This window comes from Homo sapiens, chromosome 14, assembly GCF_000001405.40.
Source record: "Homo sapiens chromosome 14, GRCh38.p14 Primary Assembly".
Classification (NCBI taxonomy): Eukaryota; Metazoa; Chordata; class Mammalia; order Primates; family Hominidae; genus Homo; species Homo sapiens.
Window position 1 is genome coordinate 101475808 of NC_000014.9, and position 18126 is coordinate 101493933.

At 44.5% G+C, this 18126-nt stretch overlaps 2 annotated features.

Annotated features, from left to right (window-relative positions):
* Positions 12–689: an enhancer, noted in NCBI's record as "H3K4me1 hESC enhancer chr14:101942156-101942833 (GRCh37/hg19 assembly coordinates)". NCBI's record gives its function as "activates a minimal SCP1, AML or CMV promoter by ChIP-STARR-seq in naive H9 embryonic stem cells {active_cell/tissue: H9 hESC(naive)}" and the evidence as "EXISTENCE:reporter gene assay evidence [ECO:0000049][PMID:30033119]".
* Positions 1376–1559: a silencer, noted in NCBI's record as "fragment chr14:101943520-101943703 (GRCh37/hg19 assembly coordinates)". NCBI's record gives its function as "represses an EF-1alpha promoter that drives an FKBP-Casp9 reporter gene in an ReSE screen in HepG2 liver carcinoma cells {active_cell/tissue: HepG2}" and the evidence as "EXISTENCE:reporter gene assay evidence [ECO:0000049][PMID:32094911]".

Genomic DNA, 18126 nt, shown 5'->3' on the forward strand with positions numbered 1-18126 from the left:
CCAAGCCTTGCCAGATTACATTGTCAAGGCCAGCACTTTGGAGATATTTCCTTGGTTTCGCAATTCACACAGTGACTAACACATGTTACATTTTGAAAACTTCTCTGGGTAAAAATTTAAGCTGAATTGTAAATACATAAAAGTCTCAACGTTAATGGGGTACATGATATCTCAGTGACTATTGTGTAACACCAAGATTCGGAAAGGATGTGGAATTCCATATAGTCGGGTGAGGATGCCGTCCCAGAGCCGCCCTGTGAAAGCATCATTGTGAGCAGCAACCTTGCCTTTCTCTGCGGTTATGTAAGTTACAAAACCCTTTGCCTCTTGGCCTCGTGAGGCATCAGGACCCTCAGGAGGCTGGAACTGCAGAGCTCCGCCCGCGATGATGAATCCCCTCCAGGGGGCATGTGCACACGTGCCCGGCACACCCTGCCAGGGGCTTCATGCTTGTGACCTCCTTGGCACCATGAGGCACTGGGCTACAGGTGACAAAACTGAGGCACATGCATGTTAAGGGACTTGCCTAAGGACATCCCCTGACAGAGGCAAGCAGGACTCAATCCCAGATGGAATGCTCACTGCTATGCCCATCACCCCCTCAGCCCCTGGTGCTGGGCAGCTATGAGCCATGCTGTGCCGTGTCATGCACACTGCACCCCCCCCCCAATGATGGCACAGGATGGCCCCCACCAGGACAGGCGATGCATGGGCGGTCACCTGGGGTCACTGTCAGAGCATCTGGACTACGAAATGAAGGGGATGGGCCACTTGGCAGTGTCCCTACGCAAGCCAGAGCTACAGGAGCACCTGGGCATAGGTGTGGGAAGGAGGCAGGGAGAGAAGGAAGGAAGCAGAGAAGCCAAGAGTGGTTGGGGAGTGGCTGTGTTGGGAGCCAGTCCCCCCACTGCCCAGGCTCCTGCCCAGCCGAGTGCCCAGAGCCCTGCCCATCTGCAGCAGCCCTGCCCAGCCCTCCCGAGCCTCCACCTGCCTGTTCATTGCTTTGCTGGATGACGCTTATCAGCCTCTACTTGGCCAGTTTTCTGTTTCATTTCCCCGTTCAACATTGATCTCCACACAGGACTGTAGACTCCATGCAGGCAGCACACTGTCTGCCGGGCTCCTGGCCGCATCACCAGAGCCTGGCCCCAGGACTGGGCATGGTGGGCATTGAGTAGTTATTTGTTGAATGTATGCACCTCCGAAAGAAAGAGGGAGCCACCATCCTCGCCTCGCTGCTGTGGCTCACTGAGTGGCTTTACCACCTAAGATGCCTGCTGCCTTTCTCCTGCTCCTTCTGTGACCTCAGACAGGCAGTGCAGGGGAGGGGTAGGCAGGGCAGCTCTCTCCTCAGCAGAGCTCACCTTGGGCCACTCAGGGGCCAGGAAGTGGCAGTGCAACTCGAGACGTTTATGACACAATCAACTCCCTGCTGAATATTGATTTTTCTTCAAAGCTCAGGGCCTATCTGTCTGGGCTCCTCCCAGCGCCACCCCCAGCCCTGCCTGGCGAGCCTGGAGACTCCAGCAGCAAGGCTTCATGCTCCCAGACGCTGCAGGTCCCCCTACTCCGCCCTGGTCAGGGCCCTCCCCACCGACATCCTGGTAACTTAGACATTGCAAGCCACAGCTGCCGCAGTGTGCCAGAAAACGTCCCTCCAAAGACACAGGATTTATGAAGGACTGTTCTCTGCTGTGTCAGGAAGGGTATTCACACAGGTTGGGAAGCATCTCATGTGCTCCTTTATTGACTGTGCTGGGAAATACTGAAGTGGGCAAATGCCGTCCATCTGAGCTCTCAGGACACGTAGGGGATAAAGGGGAGTTGAGGCTGACCAGGAGGCTATCACAGGTCAGTGTGATAAGCACAAAAATAAAAGTATGCCCAGGGCACCAGGACGGCAGGATCCGCTCGAAGTGGGGTCGACAGAGGCTTCCCAAAGAAAGGAAGTTTCCACCATCTCTTGCGATTTTCATTTGGCATCTCCAGAATGCCTGTTCTATTAGAACCAACTAAGGCCTTAATGGGATTACTCAGCTTTCAGTCATAACAAGTTTGTCTAGGTCATGTAGGGAGGTACTTTAAAGTCATTCTTCCTTCTCTTTTATTATAGCAATGACTTACAATGCTTGAAAAAACATTTTCCTTAATTCAATTACCAAGTGAGCTAAATGCATTTGCTGGAGATAATTAAGAATCTTTACAAATATAAAACAATTATCCCATCAAAATACAGTGCTGGATGCTATTATTCACGCTGGGTTTTCAATCAGAGCCCCCTCTCCCCTTTTAAAGCAATTCCAAAGCCCCCTGTGCCTGCCTTTGCTGGCCGTCCCTGTGAGCCCAGGCCATTTGTCCTGCCAGCTCTCCAGCACCATGGAAGGGCGCCCTGTCTGCCCGACCCCTGGCCCGGAGCCACCAGAGCTCTCTTCGCTCACCTCTCTGGTCCTAGTCTTGGCCCAGAGCAGGTATCAAAAACAACGTGACACAGACCAGAGGAGCCGGGGGAGACGTGACAACTAAATGCAATGAAGTCCCCTGGCGTGGGTCCTGGAACAGAGACAGGACATTAATGGGAAAACTAGCGAAATCCAAATAAAGTCTGGAATTGAGTTAACAATGGCCCAATGTCAGCTTCTGAGTGCTGGCAAATGTACCACGGTAATGTGCGCGGTTCACAAAGGGAAGACCGGGTGGGGGGCGAACGGGAACTCTCTGTACTATCGTAACTTTTCTATAAATCTAAAATTGTTCCAAAATAAAAGTTTATAAAAACAAAGCAAAACAACAAATGGGACTGAGTGGGCAAAAGAGAAGGCAGAATGTCTCCATTGCTGAAGTGAGTATTCCTGGTCTTCAGAAACCCGCCTGGCCCCCACACCCACCCCCCACCTCCAGTTGCAGTCCCGTCTCAGTTCCCTCTGAAGACAAGTCTCAGGGACCAGCTGCCTGCGGTTGCTGCCTCCACTTCAACACTATCTCTCCCCACGCTATTTGTCCTGAGCCACAAAGTGAAGGTGAGGTGTCAAAGTGAGCACCTGCAGGACGGCACCCTGGATGTTTAGCCTAAGAAAGCTCCCCCGTCCTCCTTAGAGAAGCCCCCACATTGCACACCAAGGAGTGAGGCTGAGGCAGTGCTGCTGTCAGTATTCTCCAAGGCCGCTAACTGGACCTCTGGACAACCTGCTCTTCACAGGGCCCCCTCAGTCCCTCCTGTCCTGGCCACAGGCCACAGCCTCCCTCAGACAGGCTGGAATGAAGGAACACACTGAGCCTGGTCTGCAAACCCTGGCGGGGGCTTGTACTGGACAGCAGTGCTGATATGGGGTGGGCTGAGTATAGCAGAGGCATAACTTCCATCCCCCAGGTCTGGGTACAGACACAGGCATGACTTCCATCCCCCAGGGCTGTGAAAAGGAGACGCTGTCCAAGGCACCTCATCTGACGGTGCTTGCGATGACCGTGCAGGACATCAGAGGGGCCAGAAGCACCCACGGCCCTGCGGTCGGTCGTATTTACCTCATCATTGCCATGCCTTTGAGGAGCTTTCCTGGGCCTTCTGAGTGCCTGAGCTTGGGAAGTAACCAGTGGCTCTATGAGATTTCCCCCAGAGGGCACTACGATTTTCATGGGCCTCTCCCACCATAAAAATACCTGTATTTAAAAACGTGTTTAAGGAATACAAATCCTTCTACCATAAAGATAGGCATGTGTCCTTGCGGCACTATTCACAATAGCAAAGACATGGAATCAACCTTGATGCACCTCAGTGGTGGACTGGATAAAGAAAATGTGGTACCTATATACCATGGAATACGATGCAGCCATAAAACAGAACATCAGACATCAGGTCCTTTGCAGCAGCACGGATGGAGCTGGAGGGATGGAGCTGGAGGCCGTCATCCTACGCGAATTAACGCAGGCACAGAAAATCAAATACTGCATGTTCTCACTTATAAATGTGACCTAAACACTGAGCACACATGGATACAAAGGAGGAAACAGGGAACACTGGGACATACTCTAGGGTGGAGGGAGGGGAGAGGCTGAGGATGGAAAAACTACCTTTCAGGTATTATTCGGATGACCTGGGTGACAAAATTATCTGTACACCAAACCCCATGACATGCAATTTACCCATGTAACAAACCTGCACATGTACCTTTGAACCTAAAATAAAAGCTGGGGGGAAAATTGTAGTAAATGTCCCTAAGTATGAAATAAATAAATAAAATTTAAAAATAAAAAAATTAATAAATCTTCAAATGCTTCCACATATTTTTTTCTGGTTTAAGCAAAGTTAGAGAGATGTTCTTGGGCCCCTAAAGGTATCAGGTTGAGACAGACATCCTCGCCCTGGGCCTGCGGAGCTTAATGGACAGGCCGGGTCCCCGGGCCACACTTACCAGTTAAGTGACCTGGGGCAAGTTACTTAACCACCCCATCTTCAATCCCTCATCTGCAAAACAGGGATAATGATACCTGCTCTGCAGAGCTTTTATGAGGATTGCTTAAGCTAATTGGTGTAAAAGCATTAATTCCAGCCTGGCCCCCAGGAGGCGATCAATAAAGAAGCATTACTCTTGTGAAATACTCTAGCCATCAGAGCAGGCAACAATGTTTCTGTCTTCTAAAACGTTCCCAAGAGAGCCTCGGCTTTACTCTACAAATAAGACCTCTTGATTTTATTCTGCGAGCTTAAATATCTTTGACTCTCTCATTACCTGAAACTCAAGGTCCTTAAATAGGTCTGAGGCCCCTAAACGTTCCTCTAAGTGCCCTGTAGAGCCATCACTTAGTGGCTGAGACACACTCGCTGGCTTTCCCATCGACAGATGCCTCGGTGGCCCTTTCTGGATCATCTAATCCCTGCTCCAGGCCACTGGCTCAAGTTCCCTCATTGTAATAAGTGCAAGGGAGGGTGTTTATGAAGGAAAGCGGGTTTGACTGAAGTCCAGGCTGAACTCGGAATTTCCCTGTTTGCTTTCTCTTCCTCCCCGGGCGTGCTGATGGACCAGACCTGCGGGAGCTAACTCAACAGGCCTCCAGCTGCCAGAGATTTGAGATGTTAGTCAGGGCTCAGGGGCGGGGGGCTCCGGGAGCAGGGAGCAGGGAGCTGGAGCCCTGAAAAGACCTCAGCGTCTCCTTGTCAGGACTGAACTTCCACCTTGGGTCCTCGCTGAGTCTTATTTTGCTAATGAGATCAGACAGGCTTGTAATTTTAGGTAACTGCAATTGCTAAGACTGGAAGAGAGACTCATTCTCTGGCATTCCCACAAATTCTTCCCAGTTTGTTTAGCTTAGGAAATTAGGCAAGAGCAGGTAGAAAAACGGCAGGTCAAACACAAGCCATTGCAAGAAACTGACTCATGCTTTACCAACAGCGTTATTCATCCCCCCCGTTCCTCTCCCTGGCTATGTATTTATTCGTTTATTCAGCAAACATTGATTGAGCACCTAACATGTGTCTCTGCCTTTTCACACCCTCAGGCCCTTGCCCAGGCTGCATCCTCCGCCATGTCCTCCCGTTGACCCACTGTGTATCCTTCTAGACCAGGTCAAAGGCTACCTCCTCTGGGAAGCCTGCCCCAAAGTTCCATGCCAGACCCAATCCCTGCCTCTCTGTAGGAAGGAGACTACCATGGCTCCCAAGAGGAGCACTGGCTGCCGAGTCAGAAGAGGTTGGCTGAGAAGCACGGCTCCAGGACATCCCTGATGTGTGGCTTGGGCAAGGTACTGAGGCTTTCTGCTTTCTTTCCTCTTCTATAAAGTGTGAATACTAATACCTCCCAAAACTAAGTGCCCAGGGTGCTACATAAAATACACTACACATCACTTTCCACGTGGAACTGAGCTTACAAGAAAGGCAAGGAGTTTCCCAGAGGCCAAAGGCAGGGGAAAGCCAAGAGCGAGAGTGATAAGTCGGTGCTGGCATGAAGCCACCTCAGGTGTCAGGCAGTCCCAGTGGCTTTCAGTGGCCATCCAGGGGCAGAGAGAAGGTGGGATGGCAGGATTGCCATCCTTGCACCAAACCAGAACCTCAGAGGTTCTAACGCCAGTGGAGGGGCAACTTGAGAAAACCACCTGCTGCATGTGGAGGCTTCTACTGCTTACCCATATTAAATGCTCTTCTTCCTCCAGGCGACAGATGAACACAGTCTCTGACCCCAGCAATTAGCCTGGGCTTGGGACTAGCTCTGGCCAAAGGGCTCTGAGAGGAAGCGATGTGAATCGCTCCTAGACTAAAGCCATTGACACCACCAGACTCGGCAGCGCCATCTCTCTCCTGTGGCACGTGTGGAGGCTGAGCCTGAAAATGGTAACCTGGACCCAGGCTGCTCCAGGGAAGACATTTCCCTGGAGAGTTACTCAAGTCCCCAGCAAACTTTGCAGGAGCCATAAAAGCAAGAAATAAAGCATCTGTTGGGTTTAGCCAGTGAGAGAGTTCCTTTGTTGCTGCAGCAGAACTTAGGCTATCCTGACTAATTCAGCTAGTAAAAGAAGCAGCAGGAGCACTTGTCTGTCTCTCTCTGGGATCCAGGTGGAGGACAAGTCTCCCCTGACAATCACAGCCACAGACCTCACTTCACAGGAGGGTGGGGTTCGAATTCATACTCCCTTTGTGTTCAAGGAAACTCCAAACCATAAAATTAAAGATATTTCAGGTATGTAGTGTTCCGTGACTAGAAGCAAACTCAGATCCCCCAACCTGACCTCACAGGATTCCCACAAATAAAGACTCACCAGAACAGGCAGTCGAAATCCCAAATTCAAACCCCAAGAACTTCAAACAAAAATTACTCACTAGGGAATTTTTAAAAATAATTTTAATGCATAAAGAAATGAATTGAGAGCCAAAACTATGGGCAATTAGCAAAGTACTATCAAAAGTGACTAAATAAATTTGAAAGAGAACCAAACAGAACTATGAAAATCTTATTAACGATATGAAAACCTATTTGGTAAAACTGCAGATTCGAACTGGCTCAACACAGAATTAGTGAAATGAAAGGTAGAATTGAAGCAATTACCCAGAGAATCACAGAGAGAAACGCTGCTGGAGAAAAAAAAAAAAAAGAGGTGAAGAGGCATCGAGGCAGAGTGAGTAGCGTGATAGCTAATTAACGTTCTGGAAGAGGACAGTAGAAATAACAGGGCTGGGGGTGCATGCCTAAAGCTATAATGGCTAAGAATGCTCCAAGATTGACAGTAGATGTGAATCTTTAGATTCAAGAATACTAGTGAGTTTATAGCAGGATAAATAAAAATATGCCTTGAGATATCATAGTAGAACTGCAGGATACCAAAGACAAAAGGAAAGCATATGCTTATTATAAATTCATCAGATTTATTAATTTGTAAGAGAAAAATGTATCAAGCACCTGCTAGGTGCCAGGCAGTGTTGTAGACACTTGGGATATATCCGTCCAGAAAGAGACAGAATTTGTGTTCATTGTCACCAGGAAGACAGGTGACAAAAAATAAACATAATAAATAAGTAAATTATACAGTGTGTTAGATATTGGCAAATGCTATCAATTGGAATATATGGAAAAAGAAACAAAAAAGGATGAGGAGACTCTGAGTATGTGTGTGGTTGGGAGAGGCTGAGCCAGGGCACCATATTTAATAAAATGTCAGGGGAGTTAACAAAGGGAAGAGATAACCTACAGGATAGGAGAAAATATTTGCAAACTCTCCATCCAACAGGGGGTTAATAAGCAGAATGTATAAAGAACGCAATAGCAAATAATAACAATCTGTTTTTAAAATGGACAATAGACCTGAATAGACATTTCTCAAAGGAAGACATACAAATGGCCAACAGGGATTTGAAAAAATGGTCAACATCACTAATCATCAGGGAAATGCAAATCAAAACCACAATGAGACAGCATCTCACCCCAGTTAAAAATGGATATTAGCAAAAAGACAAAAAGTAATGGATACTGGTGAGGATGTGGAGAAGAACACTGTTGGTGGGAATGTAAAGTAATACAGTAATTAGGGAAAACAGTATGGAGGTTCCTCAAAAACCTACAACTAGAACTATCACATGATCTAGAAATCCCACTGCTGGGTATGTATCCTAAAGAAAGGAAATCAATATGTCAAAGTGGTATCCGCACTCCCATCTTTATTACAGCACTATTCATAATAGCCAAGATGTGGGATCAACCTGAGTCCATCAACAGATGAATGGATAAAGAAAATGTGGTATATGTATGCAATGGAATATTATTCAGCCATAAAAAGGATGAAATCTTGTCATTTGCGGCAACGTGGGTGGAACTGGAAGTCATTATGCTAAATGAAATAAGCCAGGCACAGAAAGATAAATATGGCATCACATGTTCTCAGTCGTATGTGAGAGCTAAAAAAAGTGGATTTCATGGGGAGTGGAATGGTGGTTACTAGAGCTAGGAAGGGCAGGAGGGAGGGAGAGAAGTTGGCTAATGGGTACAAAAATACAGTTAGATGGAAGGAGTAAGTTCTAGTATTCAATAGTATAGTACAGAGACTATAGCTAACAATAAGTTATTGTACATTTCAAGATAGCTAAAAAAGAAGAACTGGAATGTTCCCAACACAAAGAAAAGATAAATATTTGAGGTGATAGATATTCCAATTACTCTGATTTGATCATTACACATTGTATACAGATATCCAAATATCACAGGTACTCCCAAAGTACACACAGCTACTACATATCAATTTTTAATATTACACCTGAAAACAATTTCAAGAGAGGCTTCATTGAGAAGGTAAAATTTGGGAGGGGAATTGAAGGAGAGGAAGGAGTTGGTGAGACCGAGATATGGAAGAGTGTCTCTCAGGAAGAGAAGCAGCTAGGGCATCCTGGCAATTTGTGTATCTTCATTTACAAAGTGTCTGTCCAAACCTTTTGTCCAACTCTTTAATTGTTGCATATATTATATTATTGAGTTGTAAGAATTTCAAATATATTCTGGATATAACTCTGTATCAGATATATGTATTGCAAATATTTTCTCCCTGTCTGTAACTTGTCTTTTCGTTTTCTTAACAGGTCTTTTCAAATGTAGACATTGTTTATTTTGATCATGTCCATTTTTATCTATTTTTAGTTTTATGCTTGTGGGATTGTTGTGTTCTGTTAAGAAATATTTGTCTTCCTCAATGTAACAAAGTGTCTAGAAGTTTTACGGTTTTGGCTTTGTTTAGGGCTGTGGTCCATCTTAAGTTAATTTTTCTGCATTGTGTGAGGTAGGGTTGAAGTTTATATCTTTATGGATGAATAGCTAATTATTCCAGCAACATTTGTTTAAAAGTCTTCCCTTTTCCCAATAATTTAGCTTGGCCCTTCTTTCAAAAGTCAATTGAAAAAATATATATCATATAAAGACTTATTATACTATATGTATTTTTCCAGACTCTTTATTCTGTTCCATTGAGCTGTTCTTACACTACCACACTACCTTAATTATTATAGCTTTATCATGAGTTTTAAAATTGAATACTGTAAGTTCCCCTCACTTTTTTTAAATTGCTTTGGCTATTCTATGCCCACTGCATTTCTATATAAATTTTACAATCAGCTTGTCCATTTCTACAAAAAAGACAGATGTGATTTTAGTTGAGATTAAGTTGAATCTATGGATCACTGAGGGCTGAATAGACATTTAACAATATTGAGGCTTCAGATTCATGAACTTGGTATATCTCTTCGCTTATTTATGCCTTCTTTCATTTCCCTCAGCGATGTTTTGTAGTTTTTAGTGTACAGGTCTTGCACATATTTGTGAGATTTATCTCTAGGCATTTCATACCTTTTATGCTATTGTAAGGGGTATTGTTTTTAAATATCTTTTTATTTGGAGGTAACGTTAAAATATCGAAAGAGTCACATCCACAGTACAGAGACTCCCTGTATATTATTCACCCAGCTTGCCCTCGTGCTAACATTCTACATAATCACAATCTAATCATGAAAACTAAGAAATTAATATTGGTACAATACTATTAACTCAACTACAGACTTTATCTGGATTCTACTAGTTTTCCACTCATGTTATTTTTCACTTCCAGGATCCCATCCAGGATCCTACATTGTATTTAGTTGGCATATCCCCTTAGTCTTCTACAATCTATGACAGTTCTTCAGTATTCCTCTCTTTCATGACTTGAAGATGCTTTCATGGCTTGATGGTCTGTCAGATATTTTGTAGAGTGTCTCTCAGTTGGGTTTGGTTTGATATTTTCTCACGACTATTCATGGTCACGCTTTATCAAGAATACTACTGGAGTTTTGTACCCTTCTAAGTGCATCAAACTAGGCAGTTACCTTATTTATTACTGGTGATGTGAGCCTTGGTAACTTGGTAAAGAGAGTATCTGTCCTATTCCTTCACTGTACAGTTACTATTTTTCTTTTTGTAATTAGTAACTCTTGGGAAAGATACTTTGAGACTGTGCAAATGTCCTGTTTGTTAAACTTTTGCCCACTAATTTTAGTATTTGGTGTTTAACTTGCCTCCAGCAATTATTGCTGTGGAATTTCAATGATTTTTCTATTTTCCTCATTTCTTCTACATTTGTTAATAGGAATTCTTCTTTAATGAGGTGTTGTTCCTTTTCTCCCATTTATTTATTGATACTTATAATTTAATATTATATATTGCACATTATTTTTATAATGTAAAATATAAAAATTATATATTTATTATGTATATGTGTGTGTGTATATATGTAAAATAACCTGAGGAAAAGATTTTATTATTTTGGTTATAATCCAATATTATTACTATTTATTTTGTTGCTCAAATTGTTCCAGCTTTGGCCATTGGGAGCTCTTTCAAATTGGTTCCTGTGTCCTTTCAGTACCCATGATCCTTTTGGTTTTTGAGTATATGGTTTATCATATGGTATTATTTTTTATTTCAATCACCAACTGTTCTTTGTTAGTATATAGACATGCAATTTATTTATGCATATTTAAAATGAGTTTCTTACAGACAACAGGAAAGTGAACCTTGTTTTTTTATCCAGTGTCACAATCTCTGCCTTTTATTGGAGAGTTTAGACTTTTACGTTTAATACAATTAATCAGTATCATTGGATTTAAGTTTACCATCTAGCTATTTGTTTTTTATTTATCCTATCTGCTCTCTGTTCCTTTTTCTCTTTTTTCCTTGCTTCTTTAAGTTTAATTGAGTATGTTTTTAGGATTTTATTTCTTCACTAGTATCTAACAAACTATCTCTTTGTTCTAATTTTTAGTGTTTGCTCCATTATTTAAAATATACATATTTAATTTATCACAATCTACCTTCAATTGATATTATATTATCACTTCATGTATGATGTCATATTCCTGCTACAGTATATTTCAATCTTACCCCACCCATCCTTCATGTTTTTGTTGTCATAGATATTACTTTTTAATATATCGTAAGCCCAAAGTACATGGTTGACATTCTGTTTAAAACAGTCAATTGTCTTTTAAAGACATTAAAAAGCGAGAAAAAAGTCTTTTAATAGATATTTTTAAATGCATGTAGCACAATAATGTAAACAGTTCATGTAAAACACCAATTTATAATATTCTATATATATATATATATATATATATATATATATATATATATATATATATATATATATATATAGTTTCCTTCAGGTAATAGGTTGGAAGGGTTTAGAATAAAATGAACATGCATCACATCTGTTATTTTAAAATATTTAATCAAGTTTTTAAAATGTTTATGAACCACCAGAATGCCACTGCCACAAATATCATTACCAATAACCAGTCTTTTTTTTTTTTTTTTTTTTGTGAGACAGGATCTCACTCTGTCACCCAGGCTGGAGTACAGTGGCATGATCATGGCTCATTGCAGCCTTGACTTTCGCAGACTCAGATGATACTCCCACCTCAACCTCCTAAGTATCTGGGACTACAGGCAGGCACACCACCATGCTCTGCTATTTTTTACTTTATTTTATTTTATGTATTTTTGTAGAGATGGGGTTTTGCCATGTTGCCCAGGCTAGTCTGGAACTTCCGGGTTCAAGCAATCTGCCCAGCTCAGCCTCCCAAAGCGTTAGGATAACAGGTGTGAACCACCACACTGCCTACAAATAACCATTCTTTAAGTGGGCTTTTATTTGTTTAAAAAACTTTTTTGTGTTTATCTACATAATTGCCATTCTCACAGTCTTCATTCCTTTTCAGAGAGCCGGGTTTCTATCTGGTATTGTTTTCTTTATGCTTGAAGAACGTTCTTTAACATTTCTGGTAGTACAAGTCTGATGACGTCTTAAAATGTTTATTTTGCCTTCATTTTTAAAAGATATTTTCGTAGGATACAGAGTTCTAGATTAACAGCTTCTTTCTTGCACTTCTTTTGAGATGTTACCCCATTGACTTCTGGCTTACATTGTTTCCAAAAAGAATACTGTTTTCATTTTCACCATGTTCCTGTGTATGTTACACGTCTCATTTTTCTCTGGCTGCTTCTAGGATTTTCTCCTTAACGCCGGTTTCAGAAAACTGCTTATGATGTGGCTTGCTGTGGTTTTCTTTGTATTTATCCTGCTTGGTCTTCATTGCACTTCTTGGATTTATAGATTTATGGTTTTCTTCAAATTTGGAAATTTTTCATCCATTATATCTTAAAACATTTTTTGTCCTCTCCTTGCTTTCGAAGACTTCAATTTTTCCATACCTTAGATGACTTACTATTGCCCCATAGTCACTGCGAATCTGTTTATTGTTTTCCAGTCTCTTTTCTCTGTGTGCTGTGTCTCAGATCACTTATAGAACTATGTCTTCAAGTTCACTAGTCTTTGAACCAGCTGTCAAGCTTATCCAGTGAAATTTGCATTTTAGACATAGCTCTACCAGTTCCACATAGTTTCTTTTTATATCTTCCATTTATTTTCTCACTATGGTTATCTTTTCATTTAAGTACTTGAACATAGTTATAATAATTGTTTTTAACATTGTTGCCCGGCATTTCCGTTGTTCGTATCATCCTTTGGTCTGTTTCTATTGACGGCCTTATTCCCTGGCTGTGGTTCACATTTTCTGGCTTTTTGGCACATGGATTTTGATCAGATGCTGAATGTTGTGAATGTTTCATTGTTGAGTGTCTGTAATTTGCCATCCTCTTTTAAGGAGCTTTGGGGTTTGTCCTGCTTGGCAGTTTAGTTACTTCCAGTTCAGTTACACACTTTCTAGGCTCGTTTTTAGCTTTATAGGACAGGTCTAGAGGATCCTTTGTTCTAGAGATAGTTTGGGCCCACTGCTAAAGTGTGGCTCTTCTAAGGTGTCTACCGAATGCCCGGTGATCAGCAAGAAGGAATTCTGAACTGCAATTGCAATTGAGAACTTGAACGATCCCATCTCCACATGGACTTTATGAACGAACAGTTCAACGCAGCTCCAGTGAATTACTCTTTGACTGACCTGGTGAGTTTTACCTGACTCAGGCTTTTTTTTTTTTTTTTTTTGGTATTCAGCAAAGATTAAAGAGGACCCCTTTGCTCCTATTCTGTAGCTCTTTTTTGCAAAGATCTTTCCTTTTTGTAAGTATGACCCCCGGCTTTTGGTGACCCCCCTGGAGAAGCCTCAGTGCTCTGCTTAGCTTCCCACCCCCACCCCGAGTCCCACACAGCAGCATGGAAACCTCCAAGCAGAAAGTCAGGCAAAGAAAGGGCTCCTTCCTATCTCCCGCTTATCTCCTCCTGGGAGCGCAGTTGTTTGTCTCTCTTGCCCAGTGTAAAGAGGAAGGTCAGTGCAGCCCCTGTTGCTCCATCATCATGGTTGGGAGCAGACATCTGTCCCACCACATGGTTTTGAGCTGACAATTGAAAAGAAACTGACAATTGAAAAGAAACACTCTGGCTTCTGAACTGAGAACAGACAATAGGAGTGCAAGGGCAGAAGCAAGGAGACTTCCTAGGGGGCTATCGCATCACAGCCATCCAGAAAATGAATGGTTGGGTTCAAAATGAATGGTAACATTTTGAATGCAAAGCTTACAGAAATCCCTGATAGATTGGATGTAAGGAAACAAGACACTTTGGGAGGCCGAGGCGGGCGGATCACGAGGTCAGGAGATCGAGACCATCCTGGCTAACATGGTGAAACCCTATCTCCACTAAAAACACAAAAAATTAGCCAGGCGTGGTGGGGGACGCTTGTAGTCCAAGCTACTCAGGAGGCTGAGGCAGGAGAATGGCATGAACCCGGGAGGCGGAGCTTGCAGTGAGGCGAGATCGTACCACTGCACTCCAGCCTGGGTGACAGAGCGAGACTCCATAAAAAAAAAAAAGAAAGAAAGAAAGAAAGAGAGAGAGAGAGAGAGAGAGAGAGAGAAAGAAAGAAAGAAAGAAAGAAAGAAAGAAAGAAAGAAAGAAAGAAAGAAAGAAAGAAAGAAAAGAAAGAAAGAAAGAAGGAAGGAAGGAAAGGAGAAAGGAAGGAAGGAAGGAAGGAGAAAAGAAGAAAAAAGTCAAGATGATACAAGGTTTGGGTCTGAGCAACTAGAATAATCTCGTTGCCATCCATTGAGATGCTGCAGTCTGTGGGTGGAACACGTCTGGGGCTATTGGGGAATTGTTTGGAGGCATGAGCTTAAATGTCTACGAGGCACACACACGTGGAAATGTCAAGCTGGGACTTTAAATATACAATTCCTGAGCTTGTGCAGAGTTTAGGGTTGGAGATATAAATTTGGGGTGAGTGTAGGATAAAGAGAAAGAACAAAATCTAACACTGAGAGGCTGGGGCATGGAGGACCAGGAGGGCTCAAAGGAGACAGAAGGAGCAGTCAAGGAGGAGTCAAGGAGGAGTCAAGGGCCGAGGACCAGGAGGGCTTTGAGTCCTGAAGCAGAACAGTGCATGTCAGAAAGGAGGATGGACTGCAGCAGCTTTGTAGGTCAAGAAGAACAGGGCATAGTAGACAACCGCTGGGTCTGACAGCGTGGTGGTCCCTGGTAGAATCATGTCGCTAAGAGCCTGACTTTGGGGTAAAGAAAAAGGAGGAAAAGGAATGGGAGACAGAGACTACAGACTTACTCCTTAATGAAGCTGTGCTCTACAAAGAGGAGAAAAATTGGGACGGTAGCTAGCATGGGAATATCCAATGACTGATCCACGTGGATGCAAACGCCTGCCCCCTGGCCTCAATTCAGGACACCTTGGCATGGCCACCCCAAGTCCAGGGATCTCTGTGGGCTCCGCCAAGATTCTGGTTGCAGCTGTACTACTGTTGAACTCCTCCGGCTGCTCAATCCTGCTCCTCTCTCTCCCCAGCAAGTACACACAACTCCGAGTTGAACCCCACCCAAGACACTTCCCTTCCCCGCACCCCCAAATAAACCACTTCCATTGGAATCCTGTCTCAGAATCTGTTTCTGGGGAACCCAAACTTAGCCCAACAGCAGGTCTCAAGGCTGACAGGAATGTGGGAAATTGAGGGAAAGTGTGGGAACCAGAGGAAGATGGGCTGTGGGATGCCACTAAGCAGGTGGGGGGGCCTGGATCCAGCGCACAAGGCGAGGGCCTGCCTTAGGAAAGGGGCTTGTCACTTGCAGCACTTGGTGCAGGATTCAGGTAGGTGGCATCTGCAGAAGATCCCTTCTGAATAATTCTATTTTGTCAGTGAACCAGAAGCAAGGTTACTACTAAGCATGAAGACTGGGGAGAAGTGGGGTTTGGAGAAGAAAGGAGACTGGTTTGGGGGCGGGGGGTTGCAGGGAGGAAAGTGAACAGACTAGACAGTGAGTCACAGGACAACTGCGGGAGGACATCCTCAAGGTGCCTAAGAAAACAATAGTCAATCTGGACATATACCTGGTGAAACTGTATTTCAAGGAGAAAGGTAAAATAAAGATATTTTTAGATAAACACAAAAGGAGAGACTGTCCCACCAACAACTCTCACAAAAGGACTTTTGAAATGGATGCATTTCAGGAAGAAAGAAAGTGATCCCAGACGGAAGATCTGGGCAGGAAAAAGGAGTGAGAATCTTACAGAAGGAGACAGGGAGTTGTGGATCCATCAGGCCTGAAATGTGATGGTCAGTTGGTCAGTTTTTGTGAGTCAACATATTGCTCTTTTTTCTCTCTCTTTTTTTTTTTTTTTTTTTTTGGATTGGTGAGGTCTGGCTATGTTGCCCAGGCTGGTCCCGAACCCCTGAGTTCAAGCGATCCTCCCACCTCTGCCTCCCAAAGTGCTGGGATTACAGGCATGGGCCACCACGCCTGGCTCAACACATTGCTCTCTAATGTTATTGTTGCTTGCCCCAAGTTCCGTGGAGTCTTCTATCACTTGCAGCTGAGCACCCTGACGGATCTACGCAGCCACTTGAGAGCGCGCTTTGCCGCGTGCTTGGCGAGAAGGCGCCAATCAACCCTTTAATCCAATCATGCAATGATTAGGGCCTTCCAGGTGGAGGTGGAGCTGAGGTCCTTCCGGGAGAGAGAAAAAGCCTCACAGCAGGCTTACTCCTATAAGGTGACACAGACACAATCTCGTCACAGGATGAGGAGTAGGGAAATCTCCCAACTTGGGCACACAGCGTGTGATCTCGCCTTGCTTTTCTCCCTGGAGGTGCAGCATCATCACAGGTGTTGGATGGACAGCTGGCAACCAATGTAAATGCCTGTTTCCCCAGCTCTAATAAACGGGCTTAACAGCACATGCCCTCGTGCACCTTAGGAAGCCACATGTATTGCAGCTGGGCCACTGGGAAAAGGCACTTCTTTCTTTCAGAATAAGGGCCAACTGATGTATTATGAATGACCCAACAACCCTACCTCTTAAAACGCTGTCTGAGAGCCTGAGCAAACTGGACCTCGCCAGTGGCTGGTGAGAGCTCTGTGTTAATGGTGCTGGATTCCTGCGGGGGCCTGTGATTCCCCGCTCCGTAGAGAGTAGGACAGCACCCCGCCTCCTCCGGACATTGCTGCACAGTGGGTGAGCCACCTGCTGCCCTGAACAGGAAGGGAAGGAGGAGCCGTCGGAGCTTGGGGCTAAGGACTCTCAAGAAGACCCACCGGCCCAGGATGCTGCAGCCACCCACGGCCATAAGGCAGGGGCGGGGCCCCCTCGCTGCTGGACCTCCTCCTCGGAGGATCTCGGTGGGCCTGGCCCCCACCCCAGCCTCCCTGGGAAGCTCCCAAGGTCGCCTGGGCATCCTCAGCAGCCTCAGTGCCCCACTCACAGTGGTTCCTCCGCATCTCCCAGGCTTTGGCCCCAGCGTGGAACTCAAACCCTTTCCTTCCTTTCCTTGAGAAGCCCCTCAGAAGGCCCACGCTGCAGCACAGTCCGCACTGAAGGCAGCAGGAAGGGCTCCGCATCGCAGCCCTGAGGACTCCGCGGCCCCGACCTTCCCAGCCCCCACCCTACCCCTCCAGGACCCCATGCTAAGGGGATCACCCTCCCCTTCCAGAGTGGTTACCCAGAAATTTTCCTCCCCACGAAGAGCAGGGCCAGGACTCACAAAATTTAAGACGGCGCTGGAAAAAAGTCTCAGTGATGAAGATGTCACATTTTAACCAATATTTTTAAAAATCAAAAGTAATGTGAAAATGGTGGATACCTGCTGGGACACATTTGTCCAAACCCATGGAATGTAAAACAGCAAGAGTGGGCCCTACGGTGAACCCTGGGCTCCAGGTGATCACGCTGTGTCAGTGCAGGCTCACTGAGTGCAAGAGTTGGTTATGGGGGAGACTGTTCAGGTGTGGGGGTGGGCGTCTATGGGAAATCTGTTCCTTCCTCTCAATTTCGCTATGAACCGAAAACTGCTCTTAAAAATACACATTTAAACATTTTATTTAAGTGACACAAATGTAACTCAACAACAAAAAATTAGCAACTTGATTCAAAAATGGGTGAAGGACCTGAACAGACACTTCTCCAAAAATGCTATACACATGACCAATAAGCCCATGAAAAGATCTTCCATATCATTAGTCCTTAGGGAAATGCAAATCAAAACCAAACTGAGATCCCACCTCATACTCATTCCTGATGGCTGTCATAAATTGGTGAATACACACAGAGAATGAGGGCTGGCCAGGATGTGGAGACATGGGACCCCTTGTCCATTACGGATGAGAAAGCAAAATCGTGTA